This window comes from Homo sapiens, chromosome 7 (genome assembly GCF_000001405.40).
Source record: "Homo sapiens chromosome 7, GRCh38.p14 Primary Assembly".
NCBI classification, from domain to species: domain Eukaryota; kingdom Metazoa; phylum Chordata; class Mammalia; order Primates; family Hominidae; genus Homo; species Homo sapiens.
The window spans coordinates 129,402,064-129,426,029 of NC_000007.14; the positions used below are offsets into that span (position 1 = coordinate 129,402,064).

General features: G+C 40.8%; 1 protein-coding gene and 2 pseudogenes across 17 annotated transcripts in view, besides 1 other annotated feature; 2 read left to right on the plus strand and 1 right to left on the minus strand.

Annotated features, from left to right (window-relative positions):
- Positions 1-23,966, plus strand: part of AHCYL2 (adenosylhomocysteinase like 2) — a 205,182-nt gene that overhangs the window by 177,034 nt on the left and 4,182 nt on the right. For all 17 annotated transcript variants that reach the window (NR_171671.1, XM_047420088.1, XM_047420087.1 and 14 more), the window contains 9 exons: positions 1,316-1,422; positions 3,034-3,150; positions 3,773-3,836; positions 4,315-4,403; positions 7,413-7,483; positions 11,531-11,625; positions 20,777-20,875; positions 22,811-22,879; positions 23,000-23,078. Coding sequence is in view for 16 of the 17 variants with exons in the window: in XM_047420088.1 (XP_047276044.1) it covers positions 1,316-1,422; positions 3,034-3,150; positions 3,773-3,836; positions 4,315-4,403; positions 7,413-7,483; positions 11,531-11,625; positions 20,777-20,875; positions 22,811-22,879; positions 23,000-23,078 (790 nt within the window). In the remaining variant the exon portion in view is untranslated. The remainder of the gene's footprint in view (positions 1-1,315; positions 1,423-3,033; positions 3,151-3,772; positions 3,837-4,314; positions 4,404-7,412; positions 7,484-11,530; positions 11,626-20,776; positions 20,876-22,810; positions 22,880-22,999; positions 23,079-23,966) is intronic.
- Positions 3,572-3,633, plus strand: RNU7-16P (RNA, U7 small nuclear 16 pseudogene; annotated as a pseudogene).
- Positions 7,795-8,493, minus strand: CDC26P1 (cell division cycle 26 pseudogene 1; annotated as a pseudogene).
- Positions 17,323-17,524: a silencer, noted in NCBI's record as "fragment chr7:129059227-129059428 (GRCh37/hg19 assembly coordinates)". NCBI's record gives its function as "represses an EF-1alpha promoter that drives an FKBP-Casp9 reporter gene in an ReSE screen in K562 erythroleukemia cells {active_cell/tissue: K562}" and the evidence as "EXISTENCE:reporter gene assay evidence [ECO:0000049][PMID:32094911]".

The window sequence follows — 23,966 nt, forward strand, 5'->3', positions numbered from 1 at the left end:
ATAGTGAAACTTACAACACAGAGTTTCCAGTTGTTCAATCTCTCTTGTCTCTTATCTTTTCTGTGGAAGGGAAAACTTCATCAGGGATTCCATACATGGAGAATGGGAGAGAGAAACTCAGAAGAGCTTTTTGCTTTCTTGGGGCATCTGTTCTGGGGGTTTCTACTTGTAGTATGGAGCAAGTACAAGAGCTTTGATGAGAGTCCTAACTTGGATCCTGGTTCTCAAGCAAGGTTTGAGTGAGAGAAAATAGGTCAACAGCAAGAGCAAAAGCAAAAAAGAGATCAGGTGGTAGACATGAGGTTGGGGATTTTGTGTACTCTGGGGTCCAGAATGGCAGTTTTGGCACTTATAGTAGAGTTGATAATTGATGAGACTGCAAGATGGGTGCATGTCAGCAGAGGGCAACCCAGTTCTGTGGGACTTTCCAGGAGGATGGGTATAACAATTTGCAGAGTCCTGCTAAACACTTCTGACAGCCTAGGGAAGGACTGAAGTGTCACAGCCTCGTGCCTAACAATGTTCTAAGCTGGTTTTTCTTTAGTTTTATAATTCAAAAGCTTTTCTCTGCTGATGAAAGCTCCAGTGGGCACAGCGTTGTGTTTATCTTTAATCCCAACCTGAAATAGTGATAGATGAGCTGTTCAGAGGCATGCTTGCACACCTACATGCTGCACGGTTCCCTGGTTATTTTTAATTTGGTTTGTACAGAGTGTGAGGTTGTGCTAGGCAAAACCCTACAGTGCTGCCTGATATTTTGGGTGGGAGAGTGCCTATACTTTGGGAGAAGAAAAGGATTAAGGAATACAGTTTTATAAACCATTGTTCTGACAGGGAGACTTAATTATCTGACCATTTATTGATTTATTTTTCTTTTTTTTCTCAAGAGGCTGTGTAAACTGAGGCTGTTTATTTAAACTAAGTCTTGACTGAATATATTTAAAGTCCCTTTAGGCTTTCTGAATACCTATAGTAGATTCAAGATCTAGTGGCCTAGTAACTACAAGTTACCAATCCATAAGAAAATCCTCGGTTAGTTGCTGTATATTTTGATACAGTAGATATGTCACGGGGAGGGTCGTTTGGCTGCGCGAATTACAATTGGCCTTTCTCCTCTCATTGTCTTTTACTTCAATATAATGACTATTTGGCAGATTATTGTATTTACTCTGGCTTTAAGTTACTTTGCATAACCATATGGGAAATTTTAAATATCTGTAAATTGCTAATTAGATTGGGATGCAAGACCCAGAGAAGCACTGAAGCCTTGAGACTTCAGCAAAGTGAATGATGTTATTGATGCTTACTATTGCAGATCTTGGATGATGGAGGGGATCTTACCCACTGGATTTATAAAAAGTATCCCAACATGTTTAAGAAAATCAAGGGCATAGTAGAGGAGAGTGTTACTGGAGTTCACAGGTAAGATTTGACATGGGCATACCTGGTTTTATGCAGTCTAGACATAAAATCTTATAAACACATACCTATAAAACACATGTTAAAAATTGGAGCCTGGGCCAGGCGCGGTGGCTCACGCCTGTAATCCCAGCACTTTGGGAGGCTGAGGTGGGCGGATCACGAGGTCAGGAGATCAAGACCATCCTGGCTAACACGGTGAAACCCCGTCTCTACTAAAAATACAAAAAAATTAGCCTGGTGTGGTGGGCGCCTGTGGTCCCAGCTACTCGGGAGGCTGAGGGAGGAGAATGGCATGAACCCAGGAGGCGGAGCTTGCAGTGAGCAGAGATCATGCCACTGCACTCCAGCCTGGGTGACAGAGCGAGACTCCATCTCAAAAAAAAAAAAAAAAAAAAAAAAAAAAAAATTGGAGCCTGCTATGAGGTAACCACATCTCAGCTTGCTATGAGGTGACCAGATCTCAGCTTGCTATGAGGTGAGCAGATCTCTCTTGTTTTTTTTTTTTAATTAACAACACAAATAATGAACCTAAAATAGTGAGAAGGGGGCAGGTGGGAGAACAAGTGAAGTCCTCATGTTTTCTAGTGATTGTAAACAATTAACTTGTCCTTTTTGGACACATATATTCATTCATTCATTCAACAAATATTTATTGAACTTCTACAATGAATGAGGAACTGCTCTAGATGCTAGGAATCTAGCAGTAGACAAAACAGACAGAAAAAAACTCTGCCATCTTAGAGCTTACATTCTTACATGGAGAGCAAGGATGTAGGGTTCTGCTTCTCAAATGAGTAATAATTCTCTGAGTAAAATTGGAATTATTTCAGTTCAATTTCTGTGATCATTTCTATGATTTATTTCACCCATAAAGAACTAAAAGTATGAAAAAAAAAAGTTGTAGGGAAGTAAATTCTGAACCAGCCACCATCACTGCTTCAATACATTATCATCTTTTTGAATGTACAAAACTGAGGTCAGGAGTTCAAGACCAGCCTGGCCAACGTGGTGAAACCCCGTCTCTACTAAAAATACAAAAATTAGCTGAGTGTGGTGGCGGGCGCCTATAATCCCAGCTACTCAGGAGTCTGAAGCACAAAAATCGCTTGAACCCTGGAGGCAGAGGTTGCAGTAAGCTGAGATCACACCATTGCTCTCCAGCGGGGACAACAAGAGTGAGACTCCATCTCAAAACAAACAAACAAACAATAAAAGCACAAACAGCCAGGCGTAGTCTCATGCACTTGTAGTTCTGGCAGGCAGGGAGACCAGTGCAGATTTAGTGAACATTGTACCTAGTAGGTAATTTTTCAACCTTCAACCCGCTCCCACTCTCCCACTTTTTATAGTCTCCAGTGAAGGCCTTAAAATTTAGAGGTGGGTCAAGGATTTCCCCCACATGACTTTTGAATAAAATCTTTATTGTGAAGCTATATATGCAGGCTCTAGAAAGATATTCTTTATTTCTCAGTGGCCACCTAACAGGATGAAACTAGTCATGTCTCATGGTCTCATGCCTACCCAATCAACGTATTTCTGGGGCCTCCTATGAAAGCAATGGTAGATTGTAATGTCCTGGTGTTTTTTGTTCTTGGCTTCCCTCATCCTCAGGCTGTACCAACTGTCCAAAGCTGGGAAGCTGTGTGTTCCAGCCATGAATGTCAATGACTCAGTCACCAAACAGAAATTTGACAACCTCTACTGTTGCCGTGAATCAATTCTTGATGGGTAATGTTTATTATCTTTGAGATGAAGTTGTGATGTCCAGTTGAGATTCTAAGTTTTTTGGCTTTGGTTATTTCTGGAAAGGATTCATGTAGCACCTCTGGATAATGTCTCCATAAAGCCAGAGCTTTGTCACCTCATAAATTAAAATTACATTATTTTTATTTTCTCCTTTGTATCTTTTCTATTTCTAAATATTATATTTTCAAAATATTATCTAATAAATGTATGTTGCTTTTATGTTTAAAAGTTACTGTGTTATCTACATCTTCTTCCTTTCTGCACCACTTGCAAGAAAGGGGAAAAAAAAAGGAAAAAAACCCTTACATATAGGATTGGTTAGATGGCAGGGAGTGAGAAAATATGTATTTTATTTAACCTTCCTGTCTGGTCATTAGTTTCTCTAGGATAGAAACCAGACTTTCAGTGTTACAGGTCTTTTAGAATTTGTCTAGCAGGTTTTCTGGTCTTTACCAGAAAACCCCTTTAAAAAAATAAAGAAACCAGACTTTCTTTCAAAATGAAAAACCAACCAAAAAACCCCATGAAAACAAAGAGATTCAATCTAACCTCAAGGGAGAAACAAGAGAAGATTTTTCTGATTTAATGTTTTTTTTTCCCCTAGACTTAAAAGGACAACAGACATGATGTTTGGTGGAAAGCAAGTGGTAGTCTGTGGCTATGGAGAGGTGAAGTTTAACCTTTTGTTTATTAGGTGTTTTAAATGGATTTTGTTGAAATATTCTGGAATTTTTTATTTGTATGGACATATGAGTACACCCTTTACCACTTTAGATGAGAAAAAGAATTTCAGAGGCCTTCTGGTTGAAGTAGACTTTCTTTTTCCCTTTGCGTTGCCGCCATTTTCCCTTAAGTTGATTTTCTGACTTGCTCCAGTACCACCGTTTGTGATGTTCTTTTTAGCTTGTGTTTTAATTATGAATCGTGAGTGTGGGTGTTCTTGTGCACATGAATGCGATAAGCAGGAGCCAGGGGTTTGTTTATGAGCTGCATTCAATTATTTGTTCTTCTCGTTTTCCCCAAGTATGAATCTATTCAGTGAAATTCCTCTCGGGGGTGGAAAGAGGGGGTGCACTTTACCAGAAGCTTTGAGAAATGGTTTTCTCAGTGACTTTCCTTAATATGTGTGCTCTCTCCCCTCTTCAGGTGGGGAAAGGGTGCTGTGCTGCCCTGAAAGCCATGGGCTCCATTGTGTATGTAACTGAAATTGACCCCATCTGTGCCCTGCAAGCCTGGTAAGCCTCTACGCTACCATCTCACTTGCAATCTCGGAGCTGTCTCCAAAGAATGGCCTGGTTGATGCCACACTTTATTTTAGAGGAGCCCAGATCCTCAGAGATGCTGCCACTAACTCTAAGCATCTGTCTTTTAAAAAGGTCAAGGAGCTCTGCTTGGAGAGAGCAGAGACTATCAGAAAAGCGAAAATTTAGAAATCCTGTGGAGATAGTAACAGGGATTCTGTCAGCCAGAGAACAGGTAGCCCCTTACCTTCTCCATGTATGATACTTGCCTTTCAAATAATGATCAGAAAAGAAATTGGCAGGCATCAGATGCCTTCTGATGTGTTACACTGAAAATAGCCCTTCTGTGGTATTCCTCCCAAAAATGTATAACCTGAATCTAATTGTGAGGAAACATTAGACCAATCCCAGTTAAGGGTAAAATCTACTAACTCTGAGTGAAGCATATATGAGAATTATTTACACTAGTATTATAATTCTTAAGTTTGAAATGATTCTAAAATTAAAAGTTAAAACTTTTCTTATCTATAAAATGTGTGTAATCATACCTACCTCATAGGATTGTGAGAGTTCAGTAAAATAATAATTAGCATAGGCTGGGTGTAATGGGTTCATGCCTGTAATCCCAGCACTTTGGGAGGCTGAGGCAGGAGGATTGCTTGCGCCCAGGAGTTCGAGACCAGCCTTGGCAACATAGGGAGACCCCATCTCTACAAATAATTTTTTTAAATTAGCTGGGTGTGGTGGTGCATGCCTGTGGTCCCAGCTACTTGGGAGGCTGAAGTATGAGTATCACCTAAGCCTGGGAGGTGGAGGCTGCAGTGAGTTGTGATTATGCCACTACGCTCCAGCCTGGGTGACCCAGCAAGACCATGTCTCAAAATAATTATTATTCTATATTATACATTATATAACAAATACATAATTATATAAGGTACAGAGCTGCTGCCACATAATATATGCTCATTAAATAATAGCTGTTATTAAAATTGTCTCTTGCCATCCTCAGCAGGGTGGGAAATACCACTGTTCTTAAAAACTATTGCAGAGTCCAAGTGTCTGTAGCCTAGGGGAACCATCATCCTTCTGGTACACTAAGAGTTTAGGAACCTGAACATATTTTAATACAAATTGATACTGTTCAGATACTGAACAGTTCAGATTATCCTGTTCAGATTATCCTGTAGACACGAATTGATCACTTACTATGCATTAGATACTGTGCTATGTGCTGAGAATGAATAAGATGAATATATAAATGAGATAAGGTCCTGCTTTTAGAAGCACACAGACAGATAACCACTGTGCAGCAAAGTAAGTGCTGTCATGGAGTTAAACGGCACATGCTTCTGTAGGAGCATAAAGGAGAAATTGCTTACTGAAGAGCAAGGGAGCAGGGTAGAAAGAGATGTCAGCAGAGCTGAGTCTTGACATTTGTATAGGTGTTTTCTTAGTTTGGAAGTATATTCCAGGTACTGGGAACATGTGTGTTGTCTCCAAGGAAGGAGATAGCATGGCAGATTTAAGAAGCTAGAAATATTTTAATGTAGTTGGCAGATGAAATACATTTGGGGGAGTGGTACTATCTAAGGTAGGAGTCATGGGAGTCATATGTCAATATAATCACATATCACTGTAAGTATTTGGGTCTTACTCTTATCCTGTCTTATCCTTAAGAACAGGCAGTCTCACTGAAGTATTTTAAGGAAAGGAAGCGACATGATCCAAATTGCATTTAGGAAAATCACTCTGCCAAATGATTTAGAAAGATGTAAACCTAGAGGCAATGAGATTGGGCCAGGGGTTACTATAGTAATCTAGGCAAGAAGTAATAAGACCTAAACTTAAGCAAGGCCAGTATGTATTAGAGAAGAGTAGAGAGATGAAAGAGACGTTTATGGAATTAAAGAAAAAGAGTCACCCAGATTTGGTGACAACTTCAATTCAGGAGAGGCAGCAAGGACATTCTTGTTTATATGGCTCATTCAGTTGGATGAACAGTGATGCTATTGATCAAGATAGAAAATATAGAAGAAGAAATAGATGAGATTATGGGTGCAGAGAAAATAATAAGTTTATTTTCAAACACAGTAAGTTTGAGATCCTTCTGGGACATTGATGAGGTGCTATCCAGTGGCTAATTTGATCCTTGGCTATGAAGCTTCAGAGAGATCTAAGCTAAAGTTACAAATGTAAAAATCAGCCATCTATCAGCAGTCATTTGCAGCCAAAGGAAGAGTATGGTTCTCTATACTGAAAGAATAGAGAAAAGAATAAAGGCATAACCCTGCAGAGCACCAATATCCAAAGGTTGGCTGAAGTTGAGGAGAGGCAATTAAGAGAAGTAAGAGGAAAACCAGGAGAGATGTATCATGGAGTCCAAGGGGTATAGAGTTTTAAGAAGGCAAATAATGTTTAATGTAGTAGAAGAAATCAAATAATATAAGAGTCTAAGAAGTTGGGCATGGTGGTGTATGCCAATAGTCCTGGCTACTCAGGAGGCTGAGGCAGGAGGATTGCTTGAGGCCAAGAGTTAGAGGCTGTAGTGCACTATGATTATGCCTGTGACTAGCTACTGCACTCCAGCCTGGGCAGCATAGTGAGATCCCATCTCTAAAAAAAAAAAAACACACACAGTTAAGAGTCTAAGAAATCTTGGGTTTGGCCTTCGGGGGATCACTGATGATCTTGGAGAGAGCAGTTTCAATGGGGTAGTTGGTTAAATGGCTAAGTGGCACTTTCTACAGTTTCTAGAAATTTGGTCAGGGAATCTCATGGTAGCCCCTGGCTCCCTATTATCAGGAAGAAATAAGTTCCGTGATGCAAACGAACCTTTTATTTCTGTCTTGTATGAACTAAGGAAATTGTTTGGATTTTTCACTTCTAAGAATAGTTCAGCTATCTCAAGAAATGACAGCAACTTGATATTAGCTTTTGAAGTCCTGTGTTAAAAGGCTCCCCAGCTGCCTGTTTAGGTTAATGGGTCATGCTTTATTTCAACAGTATGGATGGATTTCGACTGGTGAAATTAAATGAGGTCATCCGACAAGTGGACATTGTTATTACCTGTACAGGTATGATAATGACATTTTAAATGGGGTGGCACTTGGGAATGTTTTTATGGAGCAGGTGCAAGATGATTGGAAATATTCTGAAAAACCAAACTCTAAAAGCTAGAGAGAGATAGTAGCCCACAAAGCCAGCCAGTCTTTCACATTCTTCCTAATTCTTTAGAGCTCCGACCAAAGGTATACGATTAGGTTATTCCTATGTAAAAATGTTTCTCTTCACCCTTGAAGACAACTGTTATATCTCCATTCATCCTAGGAGATAGCTAGAGATGAGATTCACTTATAAAGTTTTATTTGGGAAGCCAGATATTTTTTTTTTCCAAAAATATATTTATTTTTAAAAACAGAAAATCAGATCAGTTTTATAGAGTCAAATTTTCAAGAGACAAACCAGAGTTTGGATTCCAGCTTAGAGTGCAAGTGAAGCATCAGTAATCTCATGCAGAAGATTTGTCTCTGCAGGAGGTACATTCTGCTTGACTGCAAGCACTCAATTCTCTAAATCTGGTTTGTACTTCTGCCATCATTTTATTCCATTCCAGCGCTCTGGCATGCAAGATAATCCATCTCTAAAATTCAAGACTTCCAAATTGAGATGAACGATTATTGGGCTTGGGTTGGGGTTTATAACCAATCCGATCATTGATCATTTGTTCCCGGCTCTTGGGATCACTGCTAAGCCCAATGGCTCCTTCTCCATCACTGCCTCCTACAACTTCCACATCTTCCTTCTGTTTCTTACGGGTCTCCAGGTCCTTTCGAATGTTCTCAAACTCTTCAATGTCATCAAGCTTTAGCTCTAGGCGTGTTGGTTTCCGTCTCAGCATACTGAAGTCAACACTAAGGGCCAAACCCAGTGAACTATTAGCAATTCACAGGATTATCCTCAGCGTCCAAACAGATCTTAAATGTGTACGTCATTCATTAAACAAACACTTCTTGTGTTCCAGCTACAGAGTTAAAAGGTACAGTCATAATCTCTTTTCAAGCCGACCTAGCCCCTTCCCCGGGAAGCCAGATCTTAAATGTACACTTGATTTTTTATTTTACCTCCAAAAGTGATGTATGTTTCTCTCTAGTATGTAATTAAGGCAAGGCTAGAGAGAAATTCTTCATAGTTAGAGAAAGTAGACGAGGTTATTCTGTTAATTCCCAAAGAGGTAGATTTTGAGTTTTAAAGAATATGCAGAAATGGCTAGTTTCCTCTAGGGTAAGATACTTATTTTTATGTGGAACCATAAACTACAGGAACACTGGTTTTCTAATTCTATTTTAGAGGGGGAAATCAGACAGAATAAAAAAAAATTGTAGTTGTAGCCTCAGGAAGAAATAGGGGCAGAGAAGAGGGACCATAAGAAGCTGTTCTTGGTTCATATCAATCCCCTGGATCTCTTTTGTTGTTTTAAATAGAGATGAGGTCTCAGTCTCCAGGCTGGTCTCAAACTCCTGGCCTCAGCGTGGTTCTCCCACCTCTGCTTCCCAAAGTGATGGGATTATAGGTGTGAGCCACCCTGCCCAGCCTGGACCTTTTTTTTTTTTTAATTGCTTTTTTGTGATCTGTAATTCATTCACTGCACATTTCACACATTTAAATTGTTCACTGTTTTTTAGTAATTCACAGAGTTTGTACAACCATCACCACAATCTAATGTTTTTACTGAGTTGTAATTCACATTGTAATGTTCACGCTTTTAAAGTATGCAGTTCAATGGCTTTTAGTAAAGTTGTAGAACATCCCAATTATCGAATTTTTATCACCCCAAAAAGAAACCCCATATCATTAGCAGTCACTCCTTATTCCATCCTCCATCATCCGCCAGGCCTAGGCAACCACCATTTCCCTATTCTGGACATTTCATATAAATGGAATCATAGCAACACCTGTGAAAAGAAGGGGAAAAAATAATAATTTTTTTTAAAAAGGAATCATTTATGGCTGGGCACGGTGGCTCACGCCTGTAATCCCAGCACTTCAAGAGGCCAAGATGGGTGGACCACCTGAGGTCAGGAGTTCGAGACCAGCCTGGCCAACATGGTGAAACCCCGTCTCTACTAAAAATACAAAAAATTAGCCAGATGTGATGGCAGGTGCCTGTAGTCTCAGCTACAGGAGTGTGAGGCAGGAGAATTGCTTGAACCTGGAAGGTGGAGGTTGCAGTGAGCCAAGATTGTGCCATTGCACTCCAGCCTGGGCAACAAGAGTGAAACTCCTTCTCAAAAAAAAAAAAAAAAGGAATCATTCAATATGATGTTTTCAGGGCCTCCCCATGTGATGGCATATATCAGTACCTTATTCCTTTTTATTGCTGAGTAATGTATCATTGTATGGTTATACTGTATTTTATTTACCCATTCATTAACTGGTAGACATTTGGGTTGTTTTCACTTTTTGGCTATTAGGAATAATGCTGCTATGAACATTGAATACAAGTTTTTATGTGGACATATTTTTTCAGTTCCCTTGGGTGTATAGTAAGAGTAGAATTGCTGGATCATATAGTAACTTTGTTTTTAACATTTTCAGGCTGGGTGTGGTGGCTCACACCTGTAATCCCAGCACTTTGGAAGGCCGAAGTAGGCAGAGCACTTGAGCCCAGGAGTTCAGACCAGCCTGGGCAACATGGCAAAACTCTGTCTCTACCAAAAAAAATACAAAACTTAGCTGGGTGTGGTCCCAGATACTCGAGGAGCTGAAGTGGAGAATCACTTGAGTGATTTAAAACAAAAAAACAACATTTTTAGGAATTGCCAAACTTTTTTTTTTTTTTTTCGAGACACCCAAGCTGGAGTGCAGTGGCGCGATACTGGCTCACTGCAACTTCCACCTCCCGTGTGCAAGGGATTCTCCTGCCTCAGCCTGCCAAGTAGCTGGGACTACAGGCGCACACCACCACACCCGGCTAATTTTTTGTATTTTAGTAGAGACAGGGTTTCACCATGTTGCCCAGGCTGGTCTCAAACTCCTGAGCTCAGGCAATCCACCCCCCTCAGCCTCCCGAAGTGTTAGGATTACAGTCATGAGCCACTGCGCCTGGCTGGAATTGCCAAACTTTTTAAAAGTGACTGCACCATTTTACAATCCATCAACAATACATGTGCCTTCTAATTTCTCCATATCTTCACCAACACTTGTTATTGTCAGTCTTTTTGATATTGCCATCCTAGTGAGCGTAGAGTGGTACCTCATTGTGGTTTTGATTTCCATTTTCCCTGATGACTAATGATGATGAGCATCTTTTCATGTGTTTATTGGCCATTTGTACATCTTCTCTGAAGAAATGTCGATTCAGATCCTTTTCTTTTTTTTCTTTTGGAGACAGGGTCTCACTCTGTCACCCAGGCTACAGTGTAGTGATGCAGTCACAGCTCACTGCAGCCCCGACCTATGGGGCTCAATCAATCCTCCCACCTTAGCCTCCCTAGTAGCTGGGACTACAGGCACATGCCACCACACCCAGCTTATTTTTGTATTTTTTTTGTAGAAATGGGACTTTGCCATGTTGCCCAGGCTGGTCTCAAACTCCAGGGCTCAAGTTATTGATTCTGCCTCAGCCTCCCAAAGTGCTGGGATAACAGGCATGAGTGAGCATGCCTGGCCTGCTTTTTTTTTTTTTTTGAGAAAGAGTCTTGCTCTGTCACCCAGGCTGGAGTGTGGTGGCACGATCTCGGCTCACTGCAAGCTCCACCTCCCGGGTTCATGCCATTCTCCTGCCTCAGCCTCCTAAGTAGCTGGGACTAAAGGCACCCGCCACCACACCCAGCTAATTTTTTGTATTTTTAGTAGAGATGGGGTTTCACCGTGTTAGCCAGGATGGTTTCGATCTCCTGACCTTGTGATCCGCCCGTCTCAGCCTCCGAAAGTGCTGGAATTACAGGCATGAGCCACCGCGCCTGGCCTGGCCTGCTTATTTTTAAGTTGTCTTCTTCTTATTGGGTTGTAAGAATTCCTTATAACAAGTCCCTCATCAGTTATATGATTTGCACATTTATTTTCTCATTCTGTGGATTATCTTTCTCCACTGCTGCTCAGACCTCTCTTCTGTTTTTAAGGTAACAAGAATGTGGTAACCAGAGAGCACTTGGACCGTATGAAGAATAGCTGCATCGTTTGTAACATGGGACATTCCAACACAGAGATTGACGTGGTAAGATCAAGTAGCTCATTATTGGGGGCTTTTTTCTCTCCTTCACAAGAAGCAAACTGGAAAATGAGAGAGCAGGGTCACAAGCCATCCTAAACATGACTATCCTGGCAGAGTTGTCCACATCTTTTCACTTACTAGCCCTATAGCCTGTGTTTTTGGAGACTATAAAGTTTCTTCATCTCAATTTAATAATTCTAAATGATTGTCATCTTCTATTCAAGCTCGATGCCTGTTTACACCATAAGCCTTATCTGTATGTTTAGGATTGAGAGCAAGATAAACTCAAAACTACAATGAATGATAGAAACTCAGAGCTAAGTGATACAATGAATGTGAATCAGTATGGTAGTCAGTATTTTGGGGGTGTTTGGTTTTACCATAAAGATGAGATAAGTAGGTTGGTCCAAGGAAATAAGGGAGAGAAATCTATGGGCTGGGATGATTATGTTGCTTAGGATTGACTGTGTGTATCAAATACTGCGGTTTCTTCTTTTATCCCTCTCTTTTATTGGGCGAGGTCACCCCTCACATGTTTTCCAAACTGTAGTAATTGTGTCTGCAGGTGTCATAATCAATTCAGCACCATTGTGTAGTAGCATGTGTTCTTCAAACCTGGAAAATATATCACTTTGATTCTCTAATTTGGTTATATTCACCCTAAAATTTTCCAATCCAAAATAGCACTTGGTACTAATAAGTTGCCCAAGTAATAGTTAATAGAAATGTTGTTTCTTTTTTTTTTTTTTTTTTGAGACGGAGTCTCACTCTGTCGCCCAGGCTGGAGTGCAGTGGCGCGGTCTCGGCTTACTGCAACCTCTGCCTCCTGGGTTCAAGCGATTCTCCTTTCTCAGCCTCCAGAGTAGCTGGGACTACAGGTGCTCGCTACCATGCCTGGCTAATTTTTATGTTTTTAGTAGAGGCAGAGTTTCACCATATTGGCTAGGCTGGTCTCAAACTCCTGACCTTGTGATCTGCCCACCTCTGCCTCCCAAAGTGCTGGGATTACAGGCATGAGCCACCACACCCAGCCAAGTGTTGTTTATTTCTTTTCAGACTTACCAAAGTATCTCTCAGTGTGACTTTTACTCTGGTTTTAAATTTTTCTGGCATTTTTATGGCACGCTTGTATTTCTCTCTGGGTAACTGGCTTAAGCAAAGTATGCTTTCATCTCCACTGAGGGCTGCTCTGATTGAGCTTCAGCATTGCCAGGTAAGGACCAGCTGATGTACTGAGAGCTTATTGGATAATATTTATTATATATGGTTTCCCTTTTAAATTCTGTGCTCTATTCTTCCATTATTAAAAATAGCTGGCAGAACAACCTACCAAAGCCCCTTTCTACCCTGGGGTGTCTGAGTGGTATGGCCTTATTACTCTCTCTTACCATGATATTTTGCTTACAATGAACAATTTAGTTGGTAGTTGGTTCTTTAGTTTTCTTTTGCTTAAGTTTCATTTATGTGCTATACTGCCTCTTTGCTGAATGATCAAGGATATTAGTATTTCTAAAATGATCCAGCAAATGATTCTCATTTCCTGGATGACTTTGCTTCTAGAGCCCCCAAAGGGGAAAGGCCTAAAGGGAAGTATTCATGTCATGCCCTGGGCCCTAATGGGAAATCTTCAGAGGAAGGGAAGGGGAAGGAATTTTCCTTCCTAAACCCTCAAGAAGCTCTGAAATAAAAATAATTCCAAATGCAGTGATGTACCTTTTGTATTTTTACTTTATCTCATTTCATCTTTTTGACGACTCCATGAGGCATTATTCTTATTCTTAATTTTCAGTTGGGAAACTAAGAAGTTAACTACCTTGTCAGGCATATAATTGATTCAAGATGAAACTGGTGCACAGGCCAGGCACGGTGGCTCACACCTGTAATCCCAGCACTTTGGGAGGCTGAGGCAGGTGGATCACCTGAGGTCGGGAGTTCAAAACTCCATCTCAAAAAAAAAAAAAAGAAAAAGAATATGATGTTTGAGACCATGTGTGGTGGCTCACACCTGTAATCCCAGCACTTTGGGAGGCCAAGGCGGGATGATTACTTGAGCCCAGGAGTTCGAGACCAGTCTAGGCAACATAGTGAGACCTCATCTCTATAAAAAATAAAAAAAAACAAAATTAGTTGGGTGTGGTGGCTTGCACCTGTAGTACCAGCCTGGCCAACATGATGAAACCCTGTCTCTACTAAAAATACAGAGATTAGTTGGGCTTGGTGGCACACAACTGTAATCCCAGCTACTCCAGAGGCTGAGGCAGGAGAATTGCTGGAACCCGGGAGGCTGAGGTTACAGTGAGCCGCGATCACGCCATTGCACTCCAGCCTGGGCGACAAGAGCGAAACTCCATCTCAAAAAGAAAAAAGAAACCAGTGCACAAAATCCAGGGTTTTTTTTTTACTCCTAGTCTAGTTTTCTTTGTTTTGTTTTCCTGTGTGTTGTATTTATTATCTCCTCATGACTTGTGGATTAACTTCAAATCATGATGGTAATCTCTCCTTCAGAGGCAGCCCAGACATAAGTAACCTCCTAGGATAAAGACCAGAAGACTCTTCACCTTCAATTACAAATATTTTTTGTATGATTGCTATATGCCAGCTGTTGTTCTAAATGCTTGGAGACAGTGAACAAAACAAGCAAATATTTCTACCCTCATGGAGCTTATATCATAGTGAGAAGAAAATAAACATAATAAATATGTAAAATTTATACTATGTTAGAAGGCAAAAGCACCACAGAAAAAAGAAAAAGTAGAGCATGGTGGGAGAATTGAGCACTGGATTATAATTTGAAATAGATCAGGCTGTGACCCTTATTAAGAATATGATGAGCCGGGCCCAGTGGCTCACGCCTGTAATCCCAGCACTTTGAGAGGCCGAGACGGGTGGATCACCTGAGGTCAGGAGTTCAAGACCAGCCTGGCTAACATGGTGAAACCCTGTCTCTACTAAAAATCCAAAAAAAATAGCTGGGCGTGGTGGTGGGCGCCTGTAATCCCAGCTACTCAGGAGGCTGAGGCAGAAGAATTGCTTGAACCCGAGAGGCGGAGATTGCAGTGAGCCAAGATCGCACCATTGCACTCCAGCCTGGGTGACAAGAGCGAAATTCCATCTCAAAAATAAAAAAAAGAAAAAGAATATGATGTTTGAGACGATGTGTGGTGGTGGGCGCCTGTAATCCCAGCACTTTGGGAGACCAAGGCAGGATGATTACTTGAGCCCAGGAGTTCGAGGCCAGCCTAGGCAACATAGTGAGACCTCATCTCTACAAAAAATAAAAAAACAAAACAAAATTAGTTGGGTGTGGTGGCTTGCACCTGTAGTACCAGCTATTTGGGAGGCTGAGGCAGAATCACTGGAGCCTGGGAGGCAGAGGTTGTAGTGAGCCAAAATCGTGCCAGTGCGCACCAGCCTGGGTGACAGAGTGAGACCCTGACTCCGGCAAAAAAAATTTTTTAAAAAAAGATGATATTTGAGGCAGACTGGAAGGAATTTGCCATGTGGATTTTTATGTAAACAGCATTTCAAGAAGAGAGAAAGGCCAGTACACATGCCCTCAGGCAGGAGTGTGCTTAGTCTGTTTGAGGAACAACAAGGAGGCCAGTGTGCTTGGAGGAGAATGAGCGTAGGACAAGGAAGAGTGGAAGATGAGGTCAGAGGGGTAACAGGCCAGATCTTAGAGGGCCTCATAGCCCATTGTAAGAACTCCTGATTATATCCTGAGAGAACTAGGGAGCTGTTGAGGGTTTATAATCTGACTTACGTTTTTAAAGGATGGCTTTTATTTTAAAAGAATTGCCCTGGTTGCTGTGTTGAGACTAGACCAAGTTTTGCAAGTATTGCCAGGTGGCCCCCATATCTACCAGTCACATGAGCCAAGGGCCATCTCTCACTTCTCTTTGTGTTCTTCTTGGCGGAAGATATATAGCTAAGCTAAATGGTCCAGAAAAGGAGATGCTCAGAGGAACTTTTGAAAAGTTAAATTATTCAACCTTTGGTGATAGTGTCACAGGGCATGTAAAATGAAATTCAAGGAAATATCAAACTCAACTAGTAATTGAAACCGAATTTTTATTCAGTGTTTAGCAAATTTATATTGAATACCTGCTCTGTGCCAGATACCAATTTACTAAACAAATGACAGTGAACAATATCCCGTCTCTCAGGGAGCATATATTCTAATGTGGGAGACAAATAATAAAGAAATAGATTGTTATTGTTAGTGTTGAAGACAAATAGCAAGATAAGGGTATTGGGGATTCCATTTTAGTTAGGGTAGTCAAGGAAGTCTCTTTGAGGAGATAACACTTTAAAAAACCTGAATGAAATAAAGGAGCAAGCCATCCGAGCATTCTGTTCAGAGAGAATGGCAGGTAAAAGACCCTGAGGGAGACACCTGCTTGATGTGTTTGAGGAAAAGAAAAGAAGTCACTGTAGCAGGAACATTGGGCAAGGGGGTGAGGAGAAGAGTTAACTCAAGGAGGTATAGGCTATGTAGAGCTTTACAGGTCATGTTAAGGACTTTAGATTTTATTCTGAAAGAAGCCATTGGGAGGTTTTGAATAGATGAGTGACAAAATCTGACTTAGGTTTTTATTTATTTATTTATTTATTTTTATTTTTTATTTTTTTGAGACAGAGTCTCGCTCTGTTGCCCAGGCTGGAGTGCAGTGGTGCAATCTCGGCTCACTGCAACCTCCGCCTCTTTGGTTTAAGCAATTCTCTTGCCTCAGCCTCCTGAGTAGCTGGGACTACAGGCGCCCGCCACCACGCCTGGCAGATTTTTTGTGTTTTTAGTAGAGTCGGGGTTTCACCATTTTGGCCAGGCTGGTCTCGATCTCCTGACTTCGTGACCCACCAGCCTCGGCCTCCCGAAATGCTGGGATTACAGGCATGAGCCACCGCGCCCAGCCGACTTAGGTTTTTAAAAATTACTCTGGAGGCCAGGTGTGGTGGCTCATGCCTGTAGTCCCCAGCTATTGAGGAGGCTGAGGTGGGAGGATTGCTTGAGCCTGGAAGTTAGAAGTCAGCCTGGGCAACATAGTGAGATCCTGTCTCTAAAAATAAAATTACTCTGGCTTTTGTATAAAGAAAACCCTCTGGAGCTTGACTAATGATAGGGATAACAGCAGGTTCTTTCAGTATTTCTGACTGTAGAAAGTGGTGGCTTGGATTAGATGGACAAGTGGTAGAGGTGATAAGAAGTGATACATTGTGACCAATGGAATTTGCTAAATGGATTGGATGCACACTATGAGAAAAAGAGGGAAATCAGTACCAGTCAACTCAGTGAAACTGTGGGAGAATGATTTGGTAAGTATCGAGATATTTTTAGTAATCAAAATTTTTAAAGAGTTTTTTTTCCTTTTTTGGTAGGAATTCATAGTTTAACCTTGAGATGTTGCCTGTTGCATATTTAAGAAGGAGTAGCTCATCAAAAGAGTTGGTCATTTAGAAAGCTGCATTTTTTTTCTGAGAAATATGAATGCTGTGAATACTGAAGGATCTGGGATAGGGATTATGCTCTCCACTGTCTTTTGGCCGTATCTTTCTTTTATATGTTTGCTTTGTCTTAAAAGCAGACCTGCAGCCAGGTGTGGTGGCTCACGCCTGTAATCCCAGCACTTTGGGAGGCTGAGGCAGGCGGATCATGAGGTCAGGAGTTCAAGACCAGCCTGACCAACATGGTGAAACGCCATATCTACTAAAAATACAAAAATTAGCTGGGCATGGTGGCGTGTGCCTGTAATCCCAGCTACTCAGGAGGCTGAGGCAGGAGAATCGCCTGAACCCGGGAGGCGGAGGTTGCAGTGAGCCAAGATCACGCCACTGCACTCTAGCCTGGATGACAGAGTGAGACTCCGTCTCAGAAAAAAGCAGACCTGCTTACCCATGTGTATCACATAGAAGGCCTGTGTAATTGTAAGCTTCACAATTCAGGTGGTCAAACCAGTAAGTACATAGGCTTTAAACATTTTTTCCAGCCGAAGAACGATTTAACCTGAGACTTTGTGCTTTACAGGACTAGAACTACAGTTGTTCTCCCTGAAAAAAAAAAAACAAAAAAAAACCGGATATGCACTGTTCAGAATTATATAAGACCAATTTGTGCAAGCATAATGAGTGGCCAGTTTATGGTGGGATGTACACCTGGTTTGGGAAGGTAGTCTGCACAGGAATCCCTTTTCCCGGTAGGTTGTTTAGTGATTATAGGTCCACAGCAAAGACAACTGGATGTTTTTAAGAGAGATTCTTGTCAAGTTGTGCCAGCCGTAAGGTAGGAAACCCTTCTGCTCTTGAGGAATGTGACTGCTGACTAGGCCTTAATAGGCAGGTTATTGGAGCTTCCTGGACAGTGGTAGAGATAAGTTAACCAAGTTTCTCTTCAAACCCCTTTTTAAACTTACTGTCAGGCTTTCACCTACAGCATAGCCATTCCAGTGCTTTAGTAAACTGCCTCTACTAAGCACTGGTTATTTTCTTATGTTTATAAGAAGTGTCCTTTCCTTGATTCTGCCATACCTTTCTTCCCAAGGAATACTTCCAAAGATGGGTTTTAGCTCTTAGCTCCCAATCACCAAGATTGCTTGGCCTCTGGAAAATTAGGGGTGTGAAACACTAAGAACCTGAAATACTTTAAACTCCTGTCATCTCAATAAAAACTGCCATTGTCACCAAGAGTATCTCTTGACTCTTTGTGGTTATTAACCTCCATGGCACTAAGCTCTAAAGGCTAATGGATTCTACTTTGTATATCCTTAACTTCTCAAAATGGTCTGTTTGCTTAAATTCTTTTTTTTTTTTTTTTTTTGAGACAAGATCTCACTGTTACCACCCAGACTGGAGTGCAGTGGCACAATCTCAGCTCACTGCAGACTCGACTTCCTGGGCTCAAGCATTCCTCCCACCTCAGCCTCCTGAGTAGCTGAAACTACAGGCGCACGCCAACATGCCCAGCTAATTCTGTTCTTTTTTTTTTTTGTAGAGACAAGGTCTCACTATGTTGCCCAAGCTGGTGTTGAACTCCTGGGCTCAAGGGATCTTCCCACCTTGGCCTCCCAAAGTGTTGGGATTACAGGCATGAACCACTGTGCCTTTCTCTTAAGTTCTTTTTAACCCTTAAATTTACAGTATTTATTTATAACATTTATTTTTTAAAATTCCAATTTTAAAGTAATACTTGCTTAGTTTAAAAATGCAAACACTACAAATATGCTTAAAATAAGCAAAAAACTTCCATAATTGAGATTACACTATATTGTTCTGCAACTTGATAGTGAGTGGGCTGGGTGCGGTGGCTCACGCCTGTAATCCTAGCCCTTTGGGAAGCTGAGGCAGGCAGATCACCTGAAGTCAGGGGTTCGAGACCAGCCTGGTCAACATGGTGAAACCCCATCTCTACTAAAAAATATAAAAATTAGCTGGGCATGATGGCAGGTGCCTATAATCCCAGCTATTCGGGAGGCTGAGGCAGGAGAATCGCTTGAACCCAGGAGGCAGAGGTTGCAGTGAGCTAAGATCATGCCATTGCACTGCAGCCTGGGTGACAGAGTGAGACTCCATCTCAAAAAAAAAAAAAAGAATAGTGAATGGTTTTCACGTTAACACATATATGTCTGTCTTTTTTTTGGAGCTCCTTGCTGTAGTACCTTTTTAAAAAAGAGTTGTATAATATTCCATTATATGGAACTGCCCTGATTTACTTAACCATTCCCTTATTTATTTACATTTTTCACTATTACAAATAAGCCTGGATTGAACATTCTTGGGCACTTATATTTCTGAACTTGAGCAAGTGTTTTTATTGGATAGAGCCCTAAAAAAGTGAAACTGATTGGTCAAAGATTAGGTACATATAAAATTTTGCTAGCTGCTGCCAAATTGTCCTCCAGAAAGGTTGAACCAATTTATGAAACTTGACATTTCAAGAAATTGTATGTGTTTCCCATCTACCTAATAAAGAAACGGTCCACACCATTAATATAGTTCTGAATGCACTGAAATATAATTGTATATGTCTTTCCCACTAGATTGGTACTTCCTTGGGGATAGGAATCATGAATTTCTAAACTTTAGCATCCCATTGTTTGCTTAAATAAACCTTGAAATACAAAAATGAAAAGAAAGTACTGTCTTTGTCCATAAGTGGCTCACAGCCCAGTAAAGGAATCCACAGTCTTATCTATATTCATGCTCTTTACTACAATGACTAGAATATGGTATGTACCCTGTAAATCATTATTGTATAACTAAAAGCGTTTCTTTTTATTTGTCTAAAAACTATTTGGCAGAACTTCTTAATTTTATCAAATGAGCCAATGGGTAGTTTTGGAATATGAACTCACTTTCTATTTTAGGCATTGCCTGTTGGAAGAAAGAAGGTGTTGTCTTAAGTCTACACCCCGTGGCTGTTATTTGATTGCTGCTGTTAAAAAAACATAACCTTTTTTCTCATTTTCTCTGAATATACAATATACAGAAATGGAAGGAGGGTGAGCCATTGGGAGCTTTACTCTACCATTAAGCATTTCTTTAAAGGCTACCTCACATTTGCACTTAGGTCACAAAGCTTCTGTAACTAGGGTGAACCACCATCATTGAAAAGGTGGAACCTGGGACCTTCGGATATGAGGGCAGAACCTTGGGCCCCAGCATGCTATGTTTAGGACATTTGGCCTCTTACTAAACCCACTCAGCTATGTTCCTCCTTTTTTTCTTTGTTTCTTCAGCACTTATATATTCAGTTTGCACTGTATTAATTTGCACTTGTTTGCATGTTGCTTTGTAAGTATTTTAAGGGCATTTTTTTCCTCTCACATATATATTGTTTTGTGTCCCTGGCTAAAGTACAAGCTTTTTGAAGGCAGAAACCATGTCTTTGGTTTCTTTTGTATTTCCCATAGCACCTTTTACTGTGAGAGTGGGCACACAGTATATGTTGTGGAATGACATCCTGAGTGATCCCTCCCTGGCTGGGCCTCAGATTAAATTCCCTGAAATGGAACAGTCCTAACCAACACAGGACAGGTATTCTCCATCTGGCATGTTGGTTGCTCCTTTCAACCTGCTATTTGAAATGGCTCCCTTCAACATCTTTCTGTTCCCACAGTGGGGCTTGCTATGGCTAATGCTGTACTTGCTGTATGTGTTCCAGGCGAGTCTGCGGACACCAGAACTGACCTGGGAGCGAGTGAGATCTCAAGTTGACCATGTGATATGGCCTGATGGCAAGAGGATAGTACTGCTGGCAGAGGTAAGGCTGAGACTGGCAAAAATACTCCCCCACAACAGGAGAGACTGCAATACCCAGGTCCCCTCCTCCTCATGTTCTCGAATACTTTCAACTCCTCTGTTAAGCACAAGTTTGACTACTTTCCCAATGGATTTTACTTCTAATTGTGAAAGATCTTTTCATTCAGCAATTAAGAAACTATTTTGGTTCCCCACTTTTCACCAATTATCCTGTCTCTCCACGTCAATCCACAGGTTGAGTTAGATAATTATTACTATAGAAGGAATTCACAGATAGAACCAGTGCCACTTTGAGTGATGCATACAAAGAGATAATGTCACTTGTGGGATGTTTTAATCACTAAGCACAAAGTAGATATGCCCGACTGTAACCAGGACTATCTTAGGCAAGTTCTGGGAATGTATGTTTTTACTGATAGATTCCCTGTTTTTGAAGGTCCATTCCCTTGAATTGAGCCAGATGAGTAGTAGGTACCTACCTAGATATCAATTGCTCAATTGATATTTCCCCATCCTAGCTCCTAGCTCACATTGACACTATTGACTTTCATTTTATTGGCTTCCATGTCAGTGTTTGACCACTTTTCCTTTCTTAAAAGCTCCTCTTCCCTAGTCCTGGATTCCTGACAGCTATAATATTAGATGCCTTCTATTCTTACCTTGAAGCTTTCTCTTCTTCAGAGAAAGATACCAAAATATCAAGGAGGATAATAATACTTTTCTCAATTTTGATTTTCAGTTGGTTTTTTTTCTTTTTTTATATTAAAGAACCTGAATATGAAAATGTAAAATATACATTGTCTTTATCTAGGGGCCCATAAGTTAGGAGTTTTTAGTGTCCTTACTGTTTTCTTCACATTTTCCTCACTTTATCTCATCTTCTCAGATACTTCAGGGCATTTGTAAAGGGACTGAACTATTTCTTCACAAGGAAGGAGTATATATGAGGAGGAGATGGGCAGATTGCCAAATATGCATTAATAGCTTTGATGTCAGTCTGCTGACTGATGACTTGTTTCTAGCTGCCCTAGGAGGTCCCACCTGGTAATTTTGGTGACAAAAGCAAGTACCATGGGTGTTTTTGGCTAGATGGTTGAGCAAAAAGGTGGTCAGGCTTCATAGGAAACAAAATAGGAAAGGGTGGCATTGGGGGCAATTTCTAGTTCTTCTACTGTCTGAATCACCAACTCAAAATACAAGGCTGACAATGCTGTCTTTGAATTCAGGAGAAGCAAACTGAAGGAGAAGCACAAAAATCATCACAGCTATGGTGAAACCCTGTCTCTACAAAAAAAAAAAAAAAAATACAAAAGTTAGCCGGGCATGGTGGCGCACACCTGTGATCCCAGTTACTCTGGAGGCTGAGGCAGGAGAATCACTTGAACCCAGGGGGCAGAGGTTACAGTGAGTCAAGATCATGCCATGGAACTCCAGCCTGGGCAACAGAGGGAGACTCCATCTAATCAATCAATCAATCAATCAATCAATCAATCATCACAGCTTCCTAAGTCCAAATATACCTCCCCTCACAACCTGGAGAGATTGTCCCTGGATTTGACTGATCATTGTTTATTTCAAGACAGTCTTTAAAAGAAATGCCGATCCTCAGAAGGAGGATATTTTGCTATAGAGAGTGGAAAATTCAAGAGAAGTACACTGATATTTGGCATAAGCCTCAGTGTCATATGACCATCTGTATTCCTTTTTAAATAATTCCAGAAATCTTTTAGCTATTAGTTTCATCAGATTTTCCAGAATTTTAGTGGTTTCATTTAAATGTCAGTCAGTTAGTTCTTATATATTGAATAGCTGCTTTTTTTCCAGCAGTGTTAGTCAGGAAGTGTTTGGAAAATGGTGGTCATGCTTCTCTTCCCTCACTTCTCAAAGGCCAGCGACTTTGTCCTAATCCATTTGTGTCTTCACCTTTGATCACTAGGGCCGCCTGCTGAACCTTAGCTGCTCCACAGTGCCTACATTTGTGCTCTCAATCACTGCTACTACTCAGGTAAGGCTTCCAGAGTGGGATAGCAGTAGTCTGGAGAAGGTCCTCAGACCCACCAGGTTTCACTTGCTTGGGTAGATTGCCATGAATGGCACATCAGCATCCATCTCTCTGCTTTTCTAGGCTCTTGCCTTGATAGAGCTTTACAATGCTCCTGAGGGTCGCTATAAGCAGGATGTCTACCTGTTGCCCAAGAAGATGGGTAAGTATTTACTCTTCCATCTCCATCCTTACCAAAGTAGTTCAGAGTCTGAGGTTAAAGGAAGTTTGGGGGCATTAACTTACTTAAGGATGGGGGAAAAAAGGTACCTTCATCTTGTAAAGTAGGAATTAGGATTCCTAGGTGCCATTCCCATTTATTTATCCCATTTTCTACATGTGTTGCCCTAGCGAAGTTGTGATATTATGCTGTGATTTATTTTACCTGCCTGTGAATTTTAAGGATTTTTTTTTTCTTAAAGTATCTTTATGTGGGAATCTCAAAGGAGAAAAAAAAAATCTTCCCTTAAAAGAGAAGAATCATCTCCTACCTTGTGACATCTGACTTACTCCAATTCTAGGCTGCCAAATAGCCCCTACCAAACTTTTCTCAGACGACACAAGACTTTCTTACTACACCTTCCAACACCAATCCCAGTGCTTCAGGCCAAAGGAGAGATGTGGAATAGGAGCTATTTAGTTATGTGGGTGTTTTGTATAAGAGAAACATTAACCTGTCTTAAATTTTTAAAGAGCCTGCCTCAAGCACCTGAACTGATACAGTGTGTTTATAAACTCCTCAGGCAAAGATCAGGTAATAAATAAGCTTCTGGTTTTGTTTTGCCTTAGCACTAGGTATATAACAACTGTTAAAAGTTGATACATTTTCCCTTTAGTAGACACTTTAGAAGGATATAAAAGCAACAGCACAGTCCATATTCTGACAGAATGTATAATGAAGTTGGGAGACCAAACAAATACATAGGAAATGACATAAGATTATGAATAAGTACTATGTAGTCAGATAATAGAATGTGAACAGAAACCCATAAGAATTAAGAGTACTAAAAGCAAAGCAAACAGTTCATTTATCCCATTTAGTATCCTTCTT